General features: G+C 37.4%; 1 protein-coding gene across 13 annotated transcripts in view; it reads right to left on the reverse strand.

Annotated features, from left to right (window-relative positions):
- The window catches only part of SNX13 (sorting nexin 13), a 149,734-nt gene extending 140,060 nt beyond the window's left edge, over positions 1-9,674 (reverse strand). For all 13 annotated transcript variants that reach the window (NR_146932.2, NR_146933.2, NM_001350863.2 and 10 more), the window contains exon 1: positions 9,464-9,674. Coding sequence is in view for 7 of the 13 variants with exons in the window: in XM_017011893.3 (XP_016867382.1) it covers positions 9,464-9,475 (12 nt within the window). In the remaining 6 variants the exon portion in view is untranslated. The remainder of the gene's footprint in view (positions 1-9,463) is intronic.
- Between the last annotated feature and the right edge of the window lie 8,299 nt (positions 9,675-17,973).

Raw genomic sequence — 17,973 nt, forward strand, 5'->3', positions numbered from 1 at the left:
CCTGTCAGATCAGCTGGGACATTAGATTCTCATAGGAGCACTACCCCTATTGTGAAGTGCACATGCAAGGATCTAGGTTGCATATTCCTTATGAGACTCTCATGCCTGATGATCTAAGGTGGAACAGTTTCATCCCGAAACCATTCCCCCCAACAGCCGTCCGTGGAAAAACTGTCTTCCACAAAACCGGTCCCTTGGTGCCAAAAAGGCTGGAGACTGTCATTGTAGCCCATTTATTTTACTCTCCTGACTCCCACCAGGATTAACACTATTGCAATACTTTAAGTGTTGAGCAGTTGGGTACCATACAAGAAAAAGATCAGATGTTAGTAATTAATACCACATGTAAAATAGCTGATTATATTAATAGTTGCAGTCTGAATTAAACACCAGTTGTGTTTCTCAGCTGAGAAAAATTCTGAGAAAACAAGCTATCTCAAACTCTGGAAGAGAACAAATTGCAAAATACAATATTACAGCTTGGAGAAACACTGGATAACACAATATCACATCTTAAAGTCAGAACATTATTTCCTAATATTTATGTAATAACAGAAATACGGTGAAATTTTATTTCACATTTAACTCTTCCACTAAAATTGTACAACTTCAGTTTTATAATTTCCAAACTTCACAGGACAATGAATCCAAAGGCCATTCTCCACAACTCTAGCTCGAAAATAAAAGAAATCACAAAACAAAGAATCACAACTCTTTCCTATGCTAAGCCAGTCAGGCTAAAAATAGCCCCCAAATTTCAGGTATAATACCAATTCAGGTTTAAATGGAATAAGAACCAAGGATTCTCCAACAATGCACAGCTAAGGTCAAGAGCAAAGCTGGATTCACCTTAGGGTCTTCACAGATGCATCAGAATAAAAAGATCCCTTAGGAAATCAGAGAAAACAGTGCAATAAGTAAACAATGGTGAATTATTCCAGTTAATATACATGATCCTCTCATAAGTATATTTACAGACCATTATTCTACTTGAACAGTGGAACAGAGCAGAATCATCTTATTGAACTTTTCTGGTATATATTATTTCTGAATATACAGTGGAATTACAGATGGGCAAACGACATAACAGTACTCTGTCTCCAACATTGAACAGAGACGCATTTTAGTTAAGAGACTGTGGTAGCAGCTGCCCTCCTTAAAAATGGACCCCCAAAATTTCCAACTTTGAAACCACGGCCAAATTTTTACTGATACTTACAAACTTTCAAGATAGCATCAAAGGTCATACAAATTGAAACAGTCAACAAAGTGCCATGAAAATCAGCATTATTGTACTATTACAGACAAAGCTTTCTTTAAATGTATCTAGTTTAGGAATTAAACTTTAAGTAATATTAATGAAATCATAATATCAAGTAGTAAGAGATACAAAACAAAATCCAAGTCCCTCTTGCATTTATAATTGGTTATATCAAAGTAACAACCTAATCAGATTTTTCCCTGTAGGAAAAATTAAGACAGAATTTCATTCCTAACTAAAAGCCTCAGGTTCAACTTTTTTTTGTCCCATTGCTCTTAAACACAATATTTAACCACAATGTACTTACTATATAAAATGTCTAATGAACAGATAGTAACCAATCCTTTAAGGGTAATTAATATGATGGTTTAAATTTATCACTGACAATTTCATCTCCGTAATTTTTCACTTTAATCTTAATTTTTCTTGAGGAAATATTCAACATTCATTCATTCAACAGATATTTAGTGAGGCCTACTAAGTATCAAGCTCTATTCTAGGCTCTGGGAGTACACCTATGAGGCCCATCCTCAGGAGTTTACTCTATTAGGGAAAAACATGTAACAAGCAAATAAATATATACATAACACATGGAGGTGGGAACAGCAGGATCAAGTACTACTTTCACCAGGTTGACTCTTCAATTGCAAGAAATCCATTTCAGAGCTGCTGTCTCATCCAAACTAGTAGATTTACCAGGAGTTGTAAAGCTAACCCAAGTCACAGTTATCTTTTAATTATATTCTCCAATCTTTTCCCCTCTTAACTTTTCACCCTTTAGTGGTATCATTTTATTCTGACAAAAGACCTCAAGGCTCCCACTTTGATGGCCTAAGTGGTACAATGCTAAATTTAGCGCTGATAGTGATTTCTGAGGACAGGTTTCCCAACTGACTCACCACTTCAACACTAGAACTTATCAGCATGTGCCTAGTACAAAGTAGGCATACTCTTGTTTGGTGAAGAAATCAATCCATAAAAATCAATCTCCAGCACGAGTTATAACAAAAGCCTTATAAACATTATCCTTAATAACAGCTTTTCAAGGATTTACCAAGTCTGATTAAAAATAAAAGATTTTTCTTCCCACAAATGTTTGGGAATATGTACAGACAAATGACTGGTAACCCTCAAATAAATCATCTTTTTCAAAACATTTTTTAGAACTTTGCTTTAAGGCGGCCGGGCCCAGTGGCTCATGCCTGTAATCCCAGCACTTTGGGAGGCCGAGGCGGGCGGAACATGACGTCAGGAGATGGAGACCATCGTGGCTAACCTGGTGAAACCCCGTCTCTACTAAAAACACAAAAAATTAGCCAGGCGTGCTGGCACGCGCCTGTAGTCCCAGCTAGTCAGGAGGCTGAGGCAAAAGAATCGCTTGAACCCGTGAGACAGAGCTTGCAGTGAGCTGAGATCGCGCCACTGCACTCCAGCCTGGGCAACAGAGCGAGACTCTGTCTCAGAAAAAAAAAAAAAAGAGAGAACTTGCTTTAAGGCATTCATTGAAATCGGTTTACCAACCACACAAGAAACTATCCCCTTTTTTCTCTTTCACTTCTTTTAGTCTATTCCCTGTCTCCCCTGTAACTGCACCACTAGCCAGGAGACTCCCCTCCTAATTTCCCCTCAGGACCCACCCACCTATCCACCAAGAAAATAGTGAGCAATAAAACTACATGGAGCCTAGGATTTACATTCATTAGTACAAGGAATATACAGAAAAAAAAAAAAACCCGATGTACTACCACTATTTCTATAATGACTGGCAATTTACAAAGTTATACCCTCCATCATCTTATATGATCTTCATAACAATGTAAGAACAGCAAGAAAGGTGCTATTACCCCAATTTTACACAGAAGGAAATTAAAAGCTTAGAAAGTTCAAACTAGTTCCCCAAAATCCCATCATAAATAAGTGATAAAGTTGAGACTCATCCCTTATAGTGCTTAACATACAGGTTTGTGTGTTGCCATATGTATAATTTGTTGATAGACACAGTATTTATCACTATCACTCCAGCCTATTTATTCATTTAATTCCAAATACTTTTAAAACGTTAAACAGTTTAAGAGCTATCTGCTTGCTTCAACGTTTCCTCTCCTTACACATATTTAAGGCTTTGTGACACCAAAATTAAACCTGACTCTGAAATAGAAAGTCAATTCCAGATTACAATCAATTGAGGAGGCACTTCATGGTCTATGAAACCACAAAATTTCAAAGCACAGTTTAAAAAGCCATAATCTGAGAACCTCATTCAGGGAAAGCTGTAAAGTCATTGTGGTGGATAATTTTAGATGTCAACTTGACTATATTAAGGAATACCTAAAAACCTGGTAAAGCATTCCTTTGGATGTGTCTGTGAGGATGTTTCCAGAGGAGACTGAGATTAGCATGTGAGTCTGAGTAGACTACCTGGAGGTCTGCCTTCCATGTGGGCAGGCACCACCCAATCTGCTGGGGGCCCAGAGATAACAAAAACAGAAAGAGGTATATCTACCAGAGCTGGGATACACTTTTCCACTCCACAACTTGGGAGAAAGTGTAAACCATACATGTGATAAGTGGTTAACAGACTAAATATAAAAGGAACTCAACACAATTTCAAGAAAATAACCATTTTTAAAATGGGCAAAGGGCTTGAATAGACATGTCTCAAAGGAAGACATAAATCTGGCCAACAAATACATGAAAAACTGCTCAGCATCACTAACCATTAGGAAAATGCAAATTAAAACCACAATGAGATATCACCTCACACCTGTTAGAATGGCTATAATCAAAAAAATGAGAGTAAGTGATGCCATGAATGTGAAGAAAAGGGAATTCTTGTACACTGTAGGTAGAAATGCAAATTAATACAAACATTATGAAAAATGGTATGTAAGTTCCTCAAAAACCTAAAAATAAAACTACCATACAATCTCACTCCTGGGTATATTTCCAAAAAACGGAACTCAATATGTTGAAAGGATATCTGCACTCCCAGGTTCACAGCAGCATTAGTCACAAAATCCAAGACAAAGAATCAACCTAAGTGTCCATCAATGGATAAACAGATGAAGAAAAGGTGGTAGATACAATGGAATACTAATTGGGCTTAAAAGAGAAGGAAATTCTGTCACTTGCTACAACATGAACGAACATGGAGAACATCATGCTAACTGAAAAAAGCCAAGCATGGGAAGACAAATACCACACGATCTCACTTATATGTGAAATTTAAGAAGTCAAACTCACAGAAGTAGACAGCAGAATGACAGATACCAGAGCCTGGAGAAGAGGGAGCAATGGGGATATACTGCTCAGAGTACAAAGTTTCAGATAGATAGAAGGAAGAAATTTTTAGATCAATTAAACAACTGTCAACAATCATGTATTTTATTTTTTAAATAACTAAATTTCAATTGTCTCACCATAGAAAATAATCAAGGTGATATGTTATTCAGCTGCACTTAATCATTCCACATTGTACACACATTTCAAAATATCACCCTGTACCCCATAAATGCATAAAAATGACTGTCAATTAAAATAATATTTAAAAAGAAAAAATTCTTTAAGAATGTTTATCAATATTCCTCTTGGTTTGTCAAAAGATGCCAAGTAAGGCTGTGTGTAGAGTGGCAAGCCAAACTCATTTTAGATACTGATGTCCTTCCACTCCCGTTATAAAATCCCTTTCCTACCTCTTGACACCTCTGAATGCCAGTGGACCTATGGTCTTCTTGCTTTGGTTAGTAGCTCTTGCAGTGTCATTAATAATTGAAGAAATAGCTTATATAGCTTAAAGATTAATGTGCCCCAAGAGTATTTCTATTACAAATATATTAATCAACAAAACCAAGTCATAATATTTTACTAAGCACTTATGGGCAAGACAACTGTGTGTGAGCGTGGATGTATGATGTATGTGCATGTGTGTGTTCAAAAGGACCCCTGGATGTTCAGGGAGCCTTTCTTGATACGTAACTCATCACTCCAGGATTTCCCTAAGTGAAATACAAGAAAGTGTATTCACCTCCATGGTTAAATGACTCTGCAATATGCTGTAAATTCTATCATCTTCTTTGAAAATAAATCACCTATCAAAAACTAACTATGTTAAGTCATCCAGAGAAGAAACCTATTAACTTTCTTTAGGCAAATATCCTCCAAATTTATTTCAACTACAAAACCTTTTACTTAACAACTATTAACCTGGAACTTCTCAAAGTGCTGCATTTTTTGCCTTTTCCCATTTATATCAGATCTGTTAACTCTGAGAATCAGTGTTAATATTGAAAAAGCAACAAATCTGGATGGAAGTAACAACACAAATAGAAACTATTTTTATTTAATAGTCACTTAATGATTCATATTTACAGACAACTCAAACAACTAATAGCTTTAAATAGCTACACTGTTTATTATTTTTTAAAACACAGGACAAGTGACAACACGTTGATAACTGGTTTCCATGCAAAAACAACCTCCAAAGTATGCCACAACACTGGAATGTATTCAGCACATTTTCCCACATTTCTTACCTTTAGTTTTCTGTAATAATAAATGCTCAGAATTATAATCCTAATTGCTCCTGGTATCAAGAAAAGTTTAAAAGTGTGTTTGATAAAAATTCACTGATAAATATTTCATTATCTTCTAATGTTGTGAAAACTCGGATTAATTAAAACAAATTCTCAGGTAAACAAACATCCCATGCTCTAATTTCGATATATGAAGTTTACTGTTAGGGGAAAAGAAAAAAAAAAAGAAAAAAAAAGAAGGGATAGAGGGAGAGTGAGGAGTGAATATTAAACAAGTAACTTTCATGTACACTATGACAAATTTTTTGCCAAGTATAGCAGGAGTCACATTAGAAGCAGGAAGTCCTAACAGGAGCAAGGACAACAGAAGGGGAAAAAAACTAACATTAAAAAAAATAAAATAAAATAAAAAAAAAAAAACTAGCTAGACGTTACATACAGCTCATCCCTGTATGTAAAATGCAAAAAAAAAAAAAATACATACATAAATATGACTAGCAAGTTTTCTAAATAATTCCATTGTATTTAAGATAAAATAATATAAATTGAAGCCAAAAAGTTTACATCGAGAACTATATGGGAGCTATACTTTCAATTTACATTAATCTATATTTCATAGGCTCAAAGTTCAATGTACATATTAGTTTGCTCAACTGAGTGATATTCCATTTTAGCTTAATATAAAATGGTCCTTAATTGATCACTTGTGTGGCTTCTCATTTCTGAAAAGGTTTCAATTAGAGATATATTTTTGGCCCGGTGCAGTGGCTCACGCCTGTAATCCCAGCTGCTTGGGAGGCTGAAGCACGAGAATAGTTTGAACCTGGAAGGCGGAGGTTGCAGTGAGCCAAGATCGCGCCACTGCACTCCAGCCTGGGCAACAGGGCAAGACTCCGTCTCAAAAAAAAAAAAAAAAAAAAAGATATATTTTCACAAAACGCAAAACTGAAAAGTTTCATATGAACACTTATCATTACTATTCTCATTATGTATCTATGTACTTAGTATCCTCACCTTGGTTAAAAAAAAATAAAAATAGTATGCTGATTTTATCAGCTACAAAGAAAATTAATGATGCATTCCACACTGAGTCATAAAAAGCACACAATGTGGAATAAGAGGACCTAAATATGATTTCTGTCTCCTCCATTCTTTATACAACTCTAAGTAAGCTCTTTCAACTTTCTCAACCTGTTTTATCATTGGTTAATGGGGATATCACCTACCTCAGTGTTGAGATGTAAAGAATCCAGGCACATACTACAATTCACCACTTTCTGAGCACAGTAAATGCTTGCTGAGCATGACTAATATAAAGACAGGAGAATCTTTCATAGCACAGCTCATCACTACACATTTTGAGACCTAACATGAATTAAATCACATCTCCTAAAAGCTGCTGATCTAAGTCAGCAATGTCTAGCAGAAGCAATAAAAAGGAAGTCTCACACTAATTTTGTAGTAGCCAATATTGAGTGAAATTTTATATCTAAAATATCTCAAAATAGGACTAGTTTACGAGGCTTAGAAGCCTTGTTTAAAAAATGAAAAGGAAAAAAAGCTAAGGTAAAGCAGAAAGTCTTTTTTAAGTAATAATCATTTTCAGTTTACTGACAATATTCAGACAAGGAAGTACAATAGCATGTTTTAAAATCTATCAAGAGAGCTGAAAACTACTTGAGAGGCAGCTGAGCAAAACGGTCAGAGCTCTCTACTGAGAGTTAGGAGATGAGATTCCAGTTTCGACTGTCACTAATATTTAATAATTGACCTTGGACAAGAGTCTCTGGCTTCAGTTTCCTAATCTATAAACGACTACTGAAAACTATAGGGAAGACTTTAGTACAATTTAATCTGGGTCTTACTTTGGCGAGGCAATCTAGAAAAGTTAACAGAATGGGCTAGGTGGCAACTGCCAAGGTTGGAATCCTGCTTCTGCCACTTATAAGTTGTGCAGTGTTCACACAAAAAGTACTAAAGTACAGTTTACTTAATATTATCATTGATTTACTGTTTAAAATATTTCCCTAAAACGCAAAATTGCATTAAAATACAGAAGCTGAGAAAGCTCCATCTTTCCAAATCATTTTACTGGCAGACACACAAGTAGTTCATTTGAAAGTATTAAAACTCTGAAACATGTTAACATAAGCTAAGTTTAAGGAAAAGATCATATCATATAATATTACACATTAGAGACAACACTAAACACTTATTATAAGGCTAACTGTTCCCACTAAAATATCACACTTAAGGTAAAAATGAAACTTCTGCTACTTATAACTCTTTTTTCTAATCTATTACTGCTAATCACAACACAAACTTATGCTATAACCATAATCTCAATTAACTCCAAGAATGAAAAATCTGTAGAATTTAGAAATATAAAATGAACTTCAAACAACTAAAAATACGTACTGTAGAAGTTACAATCAACCAGTAAGTATTTATCATATGCCAGGCTCTGTGCTTAGATTAAGTACAAACAGCAAAGTATAAAGTTCCTCAAAGTTAGTCACGTTCCAAGGACCTGAAATTTCAGGCAAGTACGTGCTTTACCATCACTTTTCACAAAATAAAAGCCACTCACCTACAAATGTTTGTATTTCCTTTTTGGCCCATGTAGGAATACTTCCCATTGCCCACTAAAACTGTTTCCTATTCAGTTCAGCCCATAAAAATGCCCAATCCGGTCAGTTCCTCACGTCAGGATCCTCACAGTACTTAAAGTGAAAGGCTTCGAAAAAGGTATTTCATCAAATCACAAGGTTCAGTATTTTATGTTCAGTGACACCTACACCTGCAGATACTACAACACATAACTGGGCTAACCTGGGTCAAGTACCTAGTTGCACCGATTTAGTTCTTCCCCTTAAAGTGTTGCTAGTAAAGGCAAACTCTACTTCTTCAAAAAGTCGGCTTTTTGCAATGCCCATTAGGCACTAGAAAAGGGAAATTGATTGGTTCGTCATAGTTGCCCTACTTCCATTTCAGGTCCAAAGAAAAAAACTATTCCATAGGGAGTAACAAGGGGGCCACACGCAAATCAAGGTGGCAGATGCTAAACTGAACTTTGTGATGACCACGATTTAACCGAAAAGGTGATGGATGTGGGGGAGGGGGATGACCCAACTGAGCCATACATGTGCAGCTTGAGATAAAAAAGTCCACTTCATGAAGCAGTCAAAGTAGAGGGTGGGAAACAAACCGGTCGGGCCGAGCAACAACCCCAGGGTGCTGACCGAGCTCGGAGGCGGAGGGCCCTGGAGCCCAGGGACCAGAGAAAGGAGACCTAGGGCAAACCATAGGATCACAAGAACCAGCAGTAACGTGGAAAGGCCAACGCTGCCACAGAGTAGCGTGTAAGGGGACACGAAGAAGGGAGCGATGAGTTAGAAGGGAGTGACAGCAGGAGGGAGACCAGTGCCAGGGGCGAGTGGCAAGTGGCAACTGCGAAAGGCGAGGCACTGGCAGCCGGAGGTGGTGGGACTCTGTTGAGTCAGCACAGCTCCTACTCTGAGGGCACTTGTAGGATCCCCGCTGCTCCTCGGGCCCTGGAGCCCACGGCGAAGGGTCAGGCCCACCTTCCGTACAGATGATGTTCTCTGACGGGCTGGCGCCGGCCCCTTCCCCATTTCACAGGTAAACACTGGCCACCGTCGCCGCTTACCTCAGTTAACATTATTACACCCCGGGGAAGTGAGGTCCTCCCTAGCCTCGCCTCATGGCAACAGCCGTAGCAGCAGCGAAAACTGCTCGGGCCGCCGCCAACGGCGGCAACTGCTCCTTCAGTCTTCTCCCGGGCGGCGGTTTTACTCGGCTTCGCTGGCCTCCCCTCGGCCCGGTCGCTCGCGACGGACGCGCCGCCATCTTGGAAGAGCGACGTCCGCGTCTCGCTGCAACGTGCGTTCCCATTGGCGGGCGCAGGGGCTGCTGGCGTCTCGTGACCGTCTCCATAGCGCCGGCGCGCGGAGAAGCGGAGGTAGGCTGTCGGCAGTCGGCTTGGCGCTGACTTGTAGGACCCCGGGACCGGGCGCCTGGGCCAACTTGGGACCGCTGGGAGTGCAGAGGGGCCCCAGCGCCCGAGCCTTCCGGGAATGGACGTGCGCGCCCTTGGGGCCGGCGCATCATCCACCGCCCACTAGCGTTGGCCCGCCCTGGGGAGAGGAGAAAATGCCAGAGGCCGACACTTGACTGATGGCGCTGCGGACCTCGCTGGTCTTGGGGACAAGGCGGCAGATTTCCTTTAGAAAAACTTCCCTCTCGCGTCTCCCTGGCCCCGCGGCGACCGAAGAGTTGGGGTTCGGCTTTCTTCTCCTGGGATTTAAGTGTTATTTGAAACAGCTCCCTGCGCGGCCCTTTTCTCCTAAACTTTGACAGAAACTTCCCTTTGTCCCTACCAATCCTCAGTGAGTTCTTTACAGGGGTCCGAGACAGGTTGTAGATATGATGCGGCTTATCGGCTTTACCCCGATCCTAGCGGAGTTAGGACTTGCTGATGTAATTGGCCAGCACCTGCCTAACAATGAAGGTTTAGTTATGCTACAAGTAATGCACCTCTAAAAAAACGTAAAACAGGCTTTACGTTTTACCTGCTATCTCCACAGGTTTACTAGCTGCTTAATACAATATGCTTGTATATCAAGGTGAGCAAATTTCAGCAAATGTCATTGTAAATAGTCCCAACTTAAATGGAATTGAACTCTGGAACTCAATGTGCATAGAAGTCCCTGAGACTGACGCCATTCTAGATCTACCACTAGATGGTTTGCGATGTACGGAATTAAAGGCAGTCACTTCTACCTGAATTGTGATGAAAGTAGTTTACCTGAACATGCTGGGAAAGTGTGCTACCCTGTTTTGTATTAGAAACCAGTTTCCAAGTAAATTGAAAAGCAAATTTTCAGACTTGACATTAAAAACACCTCCATGTCATTCTTACAAGAGGTACAAAAGCATTTTAGAAAACTAAAGCCAGGAGTTTCTTCCCTTTTACCAGAATCTTTTCCCTCCATTTAACAATAGTACTGTTGTGCTAAATGAAATTTACTTAATGTATTACTCTTACAGTCTCAAAACAATAAGGGCATTGCAAACCTTGTATTATCTCTATCGTGTCAAGGAAACAAAACGGTTCATTTAAGCAGTCATGCAAAAAATTCAAGAAAAACTGATTTTGCTCAATTCAACTAATTGAAGCAAAGTAGTTTTTCTTGTTGTTTTAATCTGCATTTTGTACATCATTTCCACATTGCTGGACCAGCAAAATTCTGACCTCTGCAATACAATAAAATGTGTTACTGGTATTGACAGATGAAGCCACAAATAGAAAATGAGCATGGAAATCCTACCTGGACTGAGGTATCAAAGGATACCAAGAGATACTAGAGACAACAAGGAACCTGGAAAAAGATAGTGTTCCAACCTGTAAATAAGAAAACAGAGAAGGAGGTTCATTAATATTTAAGATACCAGCTAGTAAATTAAAACAGCAATGTAGTTGTCTGGCTTGAGTATTCAGTTTTATTTACTACATCTTTTTATCTTTTCTAGAAGCAAGGCATTAAGTGTTGACACTTGAGTATTGAACCAATCTGTGATATGACATGAATATGCCTTTAACTTTCAGAAGTTTGTCTACAGACTTACAAGGAAACCAAAAGTAGTCGCTCTTCCAATGGCTTCCTAATTTTCTCAGCCTGAGTCTTTTCTGCAACCTAAAAATCCTATGCTAGCTGGCCTCCCAAGTCCTACCTCACCTCCACCCCTCTGACCTCATTTCTGCTAAGCACTTTGTTCCAGTTACACAGACCTGCTCCCTGCTTCTGTAACACCAAGGCATCTTCTTGCCCTGAGGCCCTTACACTGTGTATAGTTTCTATCTGCAAAGATCTTTCCACCAAATACCTGCATGGCTAGATCTTCCACTTCTGTCCAATCTTTGCTTAAAAGTCATCTTTTTTCAAAGAAGCCTACCCTAATCATCTCATTTAAAATATTGCCCCTTCCCCAGAATCCTCCCTTCCTTGCTTCTGTTTTTTTCATAGTACTTACCTTCTAACCTTCTAACATCGTCATTTTCTATTTTTATTTTCTATTGCCTTCCCTCCGCTAGAATGTAAGCTCCACAAGATCGGGGATTTTTTTTTTTTCATTTTGTTCAATGTTTCCTTAGTACCTAAAATACTAGAATAGTAGATGGCACAGAGTAGATGCTCAATAAATATTTCTTAAGTGAATAAATGAATGGGTGAATCATTGCCTAAAAGACACTAAAAGGAAAAGACCTAATTAAAACTATTTAAAAACAAAATCCTTGGTGTTGAAAGATTAAATTATTTAAAAGTTGGCCATTGTGTGTTCTCTTGTCTTCCAATTAATAGGAACATCACTTCTGCCACTGGAATGTTGAAGTGTATGACAATTGTTACTTCCACTAGAATGCTACAGAAAAGTTTAGGACAAAATTGTGAGCTATGCCTTTTCCTTCACCTTTTTTCTTTTCCTTTTTTTAAATTTGTTGTAGAGATGTGTTCTCACTATGTTGCCAGACTAGTCTCTGGACTCCTGGCCTCAAAGATCCTCAGGCTTTGACCTCCCAAAGTGCTGGGATTGCAGGAATGAGCCACCACACCTGGCCTCCTTCACTTTCTTAAATACATCTTGGGCATGAGTCAAAGTTAATTTCCTAGGAAGGGAAGCAACAAAGCGAATAAGGTATACTATTTAAGAGACTTACGGAAATTAAGGAGTTATATAGTTGGAAAAGAGAATGCTTATAGAAACAGCTAGCTTAAAAAAAAAAAGCACCTAATTTGATACAGATTCCATGTCTTAAAAACATCCTATTCATATCAGTTGTTACAGAGGAAACCTGGGACAGGGTGATCTGAGATGCCTGGTTCTTTGGCTATCAGAAATTAAAACAAAGCAAGCTATCGTAAGGGATGCATCTGTGACTGTTACTGCAAAAGGTTTGATTCCTCAGCAGCAGTGTCCAGTCTGTCTGATTAACACAGGAAAGCATGACAAAAAGAGGTAAGAGGCAAAAGTCAAGTGTGTTTTTTGAGACGGAGTCTCGCTCTGTCACCGAGGCTGGAGTGCAGTGGCGCTCTCTGCTCACTGCAAGCTCCGCCTCCCGAGTTCACGCCATTCTCCTGCCTCAGCCTCCCGAGTAGCTGGGACTACAGGCGCCTGCCACCATGCCCGGCTAATTTTTTTTATTTTTATTTTTTTATTTTTAGTAGAGACAGGGTTTCGCCATGTTAGCCAGGATGGTCTCCGTCTCCTAACCTTGTGATCCGCCCGCCTCCACCTCCCAAAGTGCTGGGATTACAGGCGTGAGCCACCGCGCCCGGCCGTAAGATGCTTTTAAACAAGCCACTGCCAGTGATTTCTAAACCTACAAGCAAAAATTCGGAATATCCAAGTTGCCTGTTTTTTAGTTTTGAAACAAAAACAATTTCTTCTACATATTCAGGTTGTCACAAATTGGCTCTAATTGCTTTTTGAGAAGCAGGAAAAGTATGCCTTTAACCTCCTAGGCAAATTGCATCTAGCAAACAGTTGTGTCATTTAATCTTTTGATGTCTTAAAGCATTCTATTAACTCCAGTTTCTTCATAATGCAATATTGTCAGTGTCATCTACCATCTCTACTGAACATTAAATACTATATACTCATTAACAAGGATTGGTGTCAAAACCTGCAAATTGGTATTGAAATCATGCATTGACAACAGAGGAGACATCCTAAGAACAGATAAGAGTTGGATATCCCGATTCTTTTTTACAGCTTTAATAGGGCAGTAGTAAGCAGAAATCTCAGAGCATTTAAGAGTACTCTGAAGTCTAGCCCAGCATGTACTTTTTTCTTGCATGATTCTTTTTGAGGCAATGTTGAGCCAACTCAAGACAGAAAGACAGAAGCAGAAATAATATGAGGCTTTACTAACAAATGCAGCCATAACAAAATAATAATGTACACAAATGCTTTCAATATTAGCTCCACAATGCAAAGATCTAAATAGAAAGAACCACATTATAAATTTGTAAAAGTCTATAAAATAATTAAGAGGTATTACTACATCAATGACACCTCAGTCAATCATTTTGAAAACAAAAATTTAGAGCACTTTTCAAACATTTAATTCTTAATTATGGATACTGTTTTTCAGTATCTATTATGGGCCAGGCACTGGTGGTAGACATTTTGCATGTATTATATTTAACATTTGAAAAAGACCATTACAGTAGATCACTACCCTTAGAGGCCACTAGAGGTTTAGTAATTTGCACCACATTACCTATCAAGGATTCATACTATCAACATGATTTATCACTGGTGATGTTGACCTTTATCACCTGAATGAGATAGTGTTTGTCAAGTTTCTCCACTGTAAAGTTACCATTTTCCCCCGTTCTATGCTATCCTCCTTGGATGGAAATCACTATGTGCAGCCCACACTTAAAGAGTGGGGATTTCTGCTTCTCCTTTTGCTGGTGGAATATGTAGATAAATTATGTGGCATTTTTTTTTTGCATGGGAGATTTGTCTTTTCTCCCTTTTTATTTAATCATTTATGTATATGAGTATGGACATATAAATATTTGTTTTATACTTTGAGTTATAATCTAATACTACTTTGTTGTTCAAATTGTCCCAGCTTTGGCCACTGGAGCTCTCTTAGTTGTCCTATTTCCTTTTAATATACTCCCATCAATGTGGTATGGTTTTTTGTTTGGTTAGTTTTGTTTTTAAGCACATGGTTACTTTCTAGTACTATAAGATGCTCTGGGGTCATCATGCCCCAGGCCTAGAATTAGCCATATCTTTCAGAAATCTTGGTTTCTTTTATTGGAGAATGGTGTCAGAAACCAAAATCTGGGCTCAAGAAGTGCTGTTTGCTGCTTCAGTGTCAATTCTTTTAAGACCTCGTAGCTGACACAGCAAGGAATTAAATACTTGTATATTAACCCATGTATATATGCCTATGTATAAATATTTCTGCATGTAATCATCTGTATTTATATTAAGCTAAATGTGAATTCATACTGGTATCTCCAACTCTAATCCATTATCAGATGGATCATTCTAGTCTCTTCCCCTAGCTTATCTGTATGTAATTTCCACTTCAACAGTGAGAAACTGACACCTAACATCTACCATCCATTTACTTAATTGTTCAGTTTGAAAATACATATATGGCAATTTCAGAATTGTTAACCCATACTCCCATTGGAAACAAATTTATCAACTAGAGTACATTGCCTACATGCAGTCCCTTCAGTCTTATAGACAAATCATTCCTAAAGTCACTTAGTTCAGCACCTTTTCTCCCAACCCTTTCATTGAGGTTGTTTCATATGTTTGCAATACATTTAAATTCTCTTGTCAAAGTCAGCATTCTTTCCTGAGATCTGCCTACCTCCTAAATGATTTGATTTTTAATTTGCATACATTTTCACTCTTTGTGCTGCAAAGTTCTGCAAGTTCTGACAAATGCATTATGTCAGGTCTCCACTTTATAGTATCATACAGAATAGTTTCATAGCCCTAAAACATAAAGGAAAAGAGAAGTACATAACAAAATTGCCTTTACATATTTATCTGTAGACCCAAACAACTGATCATTGTATTGAATAAACTTCACTTGAATCATAGAGATATTTATATTGATATATAATATGTAATCGATTTCTCTATAATACCTAATTACCTAATACTTGTTAAAGTCTTACCATATGCTAGTAGCTGTTCTAAGTGCTTCACAATAATCCTATAAGATAGAAACTGTTATTTCCATTTTACAAATGAGTAAACTGAGGCTCAGAGAGTTAAAATTTTTTGCTGAAGTTTACATAGCTAGTAGAAGAGCCAATATTTAAAGAAAAAATTATATATATACATTTATACATAACTGTGTATATGTATAAACTTATCTATATGTACGTATATATGTCATGTGAAGTTGTATGATACAGAATTGTGTGTGTACTGTGTCAAGTATATTAATTAAGCTAACTTTAAGAACTAAAAATTTTCAACCATCTTTGTCCTTCATTTTTTAATGTGAATCATAAATGTTGTGGTGGGTCCTTGAACTCCTGTTTTTGCCTTTAGCCAAAGAAGGAAATGAGAAAAGGAATCAGTACTCATAGATGAAGCTTAATACGTGCCTATATTTAAGGCTTACCTCAGCTGGTTTCATTTTTACAGAAGAAGGGTGAAATCAAAGGCTGTCATTATATTGCTTCCTGTTTTACTATTTTAACAACTGAGGTAAAATAATGAGATTATTCTAAGAATTGCTGTTGTTTTTAAATGATAATATGATAATTTGCACAGTTAATTTGGCATGTCTTCACCCTTGCATATATGGTGATCTTTTTGTTTTGAATGAAAATTTTAAATTGAAAACTATTTATAATAAATGTATATACAATTAAATGGAAGAGATGTTACACACATGCCCCATAATATTGGCTGTGGAATAAAAAGAATACAAGCGTGGAAAGATTTGCACTGTGGCCTTGCCTTTGCTGTTTAATGAGATTAAACCTTGGAAATGAAAGATCACCATTTGTTGAGCTTCAGTTTCCTTTTCTGTAAAGTAATGAAATTAAAACATATAATTAGAGTAACACTAATATACTGTCTACATTAATACGGTGGGTTATTATTGTAATCATTGGACAATGCCTTGTGGCTCAAGATCAAATGCTTCATAAGGTTTCTTTTCGTGTTAAAACTGTTATACTTAATGAAAGTAAGTTGCAGTTCATTTTCTTATCACTTTCCTTCAACAAACATATGCATCATCACCTTTTTACAAAAACCTTGCTACCAAGCAGTGGCACAAACTGCTGTGAACTATTTTGTGTATGATAATGAACTCCTTGAATTACCACCTTTCTATTTAAAATGAGACACCTCCTACCTTATAATGGCCATATGTGCAAATATCCATGAACAGAAAAATCAGCAAAAATGTCAAGAAAAGTCCTGGTGTATAAAGACAAATCAAATTATCAAATAAAAGACATGTAAAATCAGGCTATTTGTTCTTGAAATCTATGGGATGTTCACCTAATCTCGATGGATAAGATTTGTATTCTGTCTTGTTCACTAAATCAGCAAAATGCTGAGGGCTTCACATTTTATTTTTAAAAATAGATGTCCTTTTCGAGTTTTCCTGTTGCTGGGGAAGTGTTCTTGCTGTTGCTAACAGAGAGCTAAATGTTCTGCTTTGAATGGGATGTGTTTGTTTTTATTGGTAGGAGTGGCAGAAGGATGAATGAAGGAATTCATGTTTTTTAACTGTGTTTCTTTAAGTGACATGTCTGCCTTCTGGGTAGAGGTACCCCATTGGCTATTTACCAGATAATCTGTCTATACAATCATAGAATATGCTCATTTGTTTACATATTATTTTATTCATTAAATCTTAAATGGGCTAACTATTCAAATTTAGAGAGCATAAGGTTATGGAATTCATATCAGGAACATCAATTATCGCTCAACATCTAGTGGTTAGAAGGTACACAGAAGATACTTAAACCCTTTACATGTTTGCCTAATGTAATTTAGCCTCAAAAAAGGGAAGAAAAATAGATGAGATCTGGCTTTTTCTTTAAATCTTCTGATCATATAATTAAAATACAAGCCATTGTTTCTTAATCTTTATATATTACTCTTTGCTCTATTTACCACAGGAAACTGATGAGAGAAATATCACAGACAAAATATTACAAATTATTACTTTGGTATATACTGTGCTTAAAACTGCATGGAAAAACAGTAGTTATTCTGGCTATCCCAAGCTTAAAATAGGAATTACAGAATTACTTTTTAATGTAATTTTATTGCCCTAAAGTTAAGTTCTATATTATTATGATTTTAATTCTGTTGTAGTACTCTGTAAAAGATTGTTGATTTCTTAAACAAGAGCTTTTACTTTGTTTGAAGTTATGTCTGTTCTTCTGAGTAATTCATTGAACTTTATGGATATGCCAGAAAATTTGGTAATGCTGAAATTCTACACTGTGAAAATATAATTGAGTTTCTAAATTTCATGTTTGTCTTTAGGGGAAGGTTGTTAATCTGTGAGTCATTGGTTTATGGGGAGGAGGCAATATTTCATAATATCTCTCTAAATCAATCTGTAGCATGACGATGCTA

Source organism: Homo sapiens, chromosome 7, assembly GCF_000001405.40.
Source record: "Homo sapiens chromosome 7, GRCh38.p14 Primary Assembly".
Taxonomy (NCBI): domain Eukaryota; kingdom Metazoa; phylum Chordata; class Mammalia; order Primates; family Hominidae; genus Homo; species Homo sapiens.